Raw genomic sequence first — 6,000 nt, forward strand, 5'->3', positions numbered from 1 at the left:
CTATCTTCTCAATACTGAATTTCCTCATCTCACTCAGCCTTTTTACTATCAAATACAGTGGGCCTCTATAACAAACAGTTGATGAGTCATTCAATGTCTGCTGAAGAGAAATACAGAACAAATAAGTTTGTTCTTTTCCAGGCCAAAGCTTACTTGAGGATTGCTGTGGAAGTGGTAAGAAGATTGCCATCACCTTCAGAATGATTCCCCAAGTGTCCTGGAAATTTGCCTGGTACTGACATTAAGAGGACCTTTGGAAATCAGCAATGTGGTGATGGAACCTACAGAAATAATAGAAATCATAACTGTTTTATTTCTAAGGAAAGAATGTCTTCATATTTGACTTGCTAAGCTAAGGTTCACAAAACTTTGATGTATCAATGTTAACTGCTATATTTAGGAATTTTTTGAAAGCTGGTGTGTACCACCTGCAAAGAACTGCATTTTATTTTATTGAATTACCCCTTTAGAAATCACGAGTTTATGATGTTACAAGTCCATTTTGGGAGAGAACTGTACACTTTTTGCAGGACCACAGAATTAGTAATTTAAATGATATACTAAATTTGTGTATGGGCATAAGTATTACGCCTTCCCACCAGGCAATTTGGACTGTCTTTGAATCCTGTCTTTGGTACTGTCTTGGACATGTTCTTAATATGAACCTCTGCTTCTTCATCTGGATCACACTATACCCCAGACTTAATGAATTTCAGTCTCCAGGAGTGGAGCCTGAACATATGTATTTTTAGTAAGACCATGATGATGTTGATGATGATTCTGGTAATCATGGCAGTAAGAATAATAGCTAACATTTAACAAGTTAATTATAATTGTTCTTCCATTTGTGTGAGTGGGTACTATTATCTCCATTTTACAGATAAGTAATTTGAGATATAATTTGAAGGCACTCAACCTTGAGTGTCTTGCTGAGGGTTACTGTATCTAGCAGGTGATGGAGCTTGGATTTGAACTTGAGTAATTCGATATTAGATTCATCTTTTTGTACACCAATGTGCTTTTGTTAATTAAAAAAAGTCGGTGGTGGCTAGGCGTGGTGGCTCACGCCTGTAATCCCAGCACTTTGGGAGGTTGAGGTGGGTGGATCATGAGGTCAGGAGTTCAAGACCAGCCTGACCAACATGGTGAAACCCCGTCTCTACTAAAAATACAAAAATTAGCTGGGTGTGGTGGCATATGCCTGTAATCCCAGCTACTCGGGAGGCTGAGGCAGGAGAATCATTTCAACCCGGGAGGCTGAGGTTGCAGTGAGTGGAGATTGTACCACTGCACTCCAGCCTGGTCAATGGAGTGCGACTCCATCTCAAAAAAAAAAAAAAAAAAAAAAAAAGTCGGGGGAGATGCAATATTTAGCATTTCCTCAAACTTTTTTTGGCCATGAAATCCACCACCCCCCTCCTTTTTCAGAGCATTTCATGAAGTTCACATTTCAAATAATACATTTTGAAAAACATTTATCTTGTCTAATTGAAGCTCAAAGAGATAGAGTCAATGACTTTTCAAAGTCAGGTAGCAGATAGTTTTAAAGCTGCAAGTACTGATAAGTGTGAGCCATTAGTTAATTCGCATTTATAAAGAAGTGGTCTGTCACTTTTGGCAAATGTCTTGACATCTGTTGCTCTACAGTTGTCAACTAGAAAATTAGGCATAGAGTTTCACATTATTATAAGCATGTTTTCACACAAAAACATGTACATTGATGTTTATTGCAATTTTATGTGTAATAACCAAAAACAACCCAGATTTTCTTCATTGGGTAAATGATTAAACAAACCATAGTACATTCATACCGTGAGTGCTACTCAGCAATAAAAAAGAACAAACTATGGGTACAGGCAGCAACTTATAATTCCAGAGAATTATGCTGAATGAAAAAGGCCAATTTAAAAAGGTTTTGTACCAAAAGATTCCATTTATATAACGTTCTTGAAGTGACATAATTATAGAAATGGAGAACAGATTAGTGGTGGCTGTGTTAAGGAGGGGGTGAGGATGGGAGAGAATTGGGCGTGGCTGTGAGAAACATGAGGGATCCTTGTGATGATGGAAATGTTCTATATCACAGCTATCGATGTCAGTATCCCAGTTGTGATATTGTGCTATAGTTTTGCAAGATGTTACCACTGGGGGAAATTGGGTGAAGGGCACATGGAATCTCTGTATTATTTCAACTGCATGTAAATCTACAATTATCTCAAAATAAAAATAAAAGTTAAAAAAACACAAACTGCTATATCTGAACTGAAATTTACTGGACCAAATTATACTAATTAATATCATGAATAAAATTATTTGTGGACACACTGTAATCATATCACTCTGAGAAGGAAGTAATGACTTAAAGTTTCAGATATTCTTTGTGTATTTATTGTCTGTTGAGGAAGAAGAAAATATAGATGATCATTGAGCACTTGTGAATACAAAAAATACTTAAACCAAACTTAACTTTTTTCAAAAAAGAATGACTTAAAGTTGTATGTCACCATTTAATACATATCATAGGGAAATGGGAAAGGTGGTCTTTACTCATAAATACATGACCGAGAGAAGATCCACATATAAAATTCCCTGCCCTCTTCTCCTCCTTCTTTTGACTGTTGTCTGCAGATGCTTCAAGGAAGTCTACTGAAACAAATGGCGGTTGGAATATATATGCAGGTTTAGACATGGAGGAAGGAACAGTAGCTATAAAACAAGAACTAAGCTTATTCTAAAATTTTGCCACCAACTCCAAAGGTAGACTGAAGTACAGGTAGTTTGCCTGTTTGTTAAGGAGTGATATTTATTTTCCATTCTTCACATCTCAGTAGAGTGTAAATAAAAGACTGATATTTTGAAAAGGTGAACAAAATTGGCAAACCTTTAGCCAGGCTCATTAAGAAATGAGAGAAAGAAAGATGACATAAATCAACAAATCAGGAATGAAAAGGAGACATTATTACAGACATGAAAAGGACAATAAGAAAGATTACAAACAACTTTATGCCCATTAAATTGAAGACTTAGATGAAATAGACAAATGCTTTGAAAGAAACTACCAAAGCTCACTTATGGAATAGATATATTCCTTTAATATAATTTATGACTGAGTAGTCATAAATTACTTTTAAAAATATAATTTGTGTTAAGAACCAACAAAGAAAACTCTAGCCCCAGATGCCTTTACTGTCAAAATCTACCCAACATTGAATGAAGGAATAATACCAGTTCTACACAAACTTTACCAGAAAATAGAGGGGGCACTTTCCAACTCATTTTGTGAAGCCAGCATTACCCTAATATGCAAACCAAAGACAAAGACAATACAAGAAAAGAAGAATACAGACAAATGTTCCTCATAAACATAGACAGAAAATTCTTCAACAAATCTTACTTAATTGAATCCAGCATTATATAAAAGGATAATACATATGACTACAAGGTCATTTTCCTGGGAACACAAGGTTGGTTCAACATTTGAACATCAATCAATGTATGGCAGATTCAAGAAGAAACAGTAAAGCAAAACAGACTAAAGAAAAAAAGCATGTTTATTTGAATAGGTATAGACCAAGCATATAACAAAACTGAACATTCATTTGCAATAAGAATTAGCAAACTAGAAATAGAAAACAACTTTTTCAACCTAATAAAAGGCATCAACAAAGAACTACAACTAACATTATTGCTAATGGTGAAAGACCTACTGCAAGGCTGTCCAAGCTCACCATTTTATTCATTATCATACCTAAGGTCTTTCCTAGTGCAATAGAAAAAGAAATAAAGGCATATAGATTAGAAAGGAAGAAATAAAACCATCTCTGTTCACACACAAATTGATTGTCTATGGAGAACATTCCAAATAATATACACAAAAGCAACTAGAACTAATACATGGATTTAGCAGAGATGCAGTATGCAAGGTCGACATACAAAACCAATTTTATTTCTGTATACTAGCAATAAACAATTAGAAATTGAATGAAAAAAGTTCGATTTATAGCACCCAAAAAACCATGAAATATTTACATGTAAATATAATAAGATATGTAAAAAATCTGTTATTCTGACAACTACAAAACACTAATGAAGAAATCAAAGAAAACATTTAGGTGGTGAGACATACCATGTTCAAAGTTTGGAAGACTCAACATGTTTAAAATATCTATTCTCCCCAAATTGATCTATATCCAATGTGATTTCTGTCAAAATCCAACAAGACTCTTACTGAAATTGACAACTTGATTCTAACATTTTCACGTAACTAGAGTGTCCAGAATAGCCAAATTATTTTGAACAAAAAAAGATTAAAGTTTAGGAACTTACACCACCTGATTTGAAGAGTTTTTTTGTTTTTTATTTTTTGAGACGGAGTCTCACTCTGTCGCCAGGCTGGAGTACAGTGGCACGATCTTGGCTCACTGCAACCCCCGCCTCCTGGGTTCAAGTGGTTCTCCTGCCTCAGCCTCCTGAGTAGCTGGGACTACAGGCATGCACCACCACGCCCAGCTAATTTTTGTATTTTTTAGTAGAAACGGAGTTTCACCATGTTGGCCAGGAAGGTCTTGATCTCTTGACCTTGTGATCTGCCCACCTCGGCCTCCCAAAGTGCTGGGATTACAGGTGTGAGCCACTGTGCCCAGCCTGAAGACTTATTATAAAGCTACAGTAATCAAGGCAATGTGGTATTGGTGTAAAGATAGAAATATAGATCCATGGGACAGAGTTCAGAAACAGACATACACAGATATGATAACTTGATTTCCAACAAAGGTACCAAAGCAATTCATTGGAGAATGGATGACTTTCCAGCACTTGTGCTTGAATGATGAGACATCTTTTTACAAAGAAATAAACTTTGCCAACTTCTAGATATAAAAACACATCAAAATGGATCATAGACCTAAATATAAAATCTAAAACTATGACACTTCTAAAAGAAAAACATAGAGGAAAATCTTCATGATCTTGAGTTATGCAAAAATAAGACACAAAAATCCTGATTAAACAATAACAGAAAAAGTAGATAACTTGTATTTCATCAAAACTAAAACTTAACTGTTTGAAAGACACAGTTAAGAAAATCAAAGGCAATTTATAGACTAGGAGAAAACATTTGTGAAACATGTCTGATGAAGAGTTTAAAATATATAAAGAATACGTACAACTGATTAATAAGACAACCCAATTTAAAATGGGTGAAGGATTTCAATAGACACTTCGCCAAAGAAGAGATATCATTGACAAATAACATGAAAATGCTCAATGTTTTTAGTCATTAGGGAGATGCAAATTAAAACCACAATGGAATACCACTACAAAGCCACTAAAATTGCTATGATTAAAAAGATTGGCAATACGAAGTGCTGAAGATGATGTGGATCCCCTGGAAATCTCATACCCTGTTGGTGGGAATGGGAATGTAAAATAATACCACTTTGGAAACAGTCTGGCATGCTTTTTTTTTTTTTTTTTTTTTTTGGACACAGGATCTCTCTGTTTCCCAGGCTGTTTTCAAACTCCTGGGCTCATGCAGGTCTCTCACCTTGGCATCCCAAAGTGTTAGGATTACACGCATAAGCCTCCATGCCTGGTTCTGTTACACTCTTAAAGAGTTAAAAGATGCACATACCCTATAATTAAATATTATGCTCCTAGATATTTACCCAAGACAAAACAGACACATATTTGCATGAAGACTTACACACATGTTCCTATCAACTTTGTTTATAATATCCAAAAGCTGGAAACAACTCCAATATGCATCAAAAGGTGAATGGGAATGTCCTGAATGGAAGATCATCATGGCGGATAGGAGGCAGGACTAGATTGCACCTCAGACTCAGACGGACAGAGCAGCGTGCAGAGGCTCGCATTGTGAATTTTAGCTCCAGAATGACTGCAAGAACAAACCAGGAATTGCAATAAGACCCACAGACCCTCTGAAGGAAGCAACTGCTTCTGCAGGACCCAGGAGACACCCCTAATATTGTGAGTGTC

General features: G+C 35.8%; 1 protein-coding gene across 8 annotated transcripts in view; it reads left to right on the forward strand.

Annotated features, from left to right (window-relative positions):
* Positions 1 to 2,248, forward strand: part of NUBPL (NUBP iron-sulfur cluster assembly factor, mitochondrial) — a 299,821-nt gene extending 297,573 nt beyond the window's left edge. For all 8 annotated transcript variants that reach the window (NR_120408.2, NM_025152.3, XM_047431787.1 and 5 more), the window contains one exon: positions 142 to 2,248. Coding sequence is in view for 7 of the 8 variants with exons in the window: in NM_025152.3 (NP_079428.2) it covers positions 142 to 204 (63 nt within the window). In the remaining variant the exon portion in view is untranslated. The remainder of the gene's footprint in view (positions 1 to 141) is intronic.

The sequence above is a fragment of the Homo sapiens genome, chromosome 14 (genome assembly GCF_000001405.40).
Source record: "Homo sapiens chromosome 14, GRCh38.p14 Primary Assembly".
NCBI lineage: Eukaryota > Metazoa > Chordata > Mammalia > Primates > Hominidae > Homo > Homo sapiens.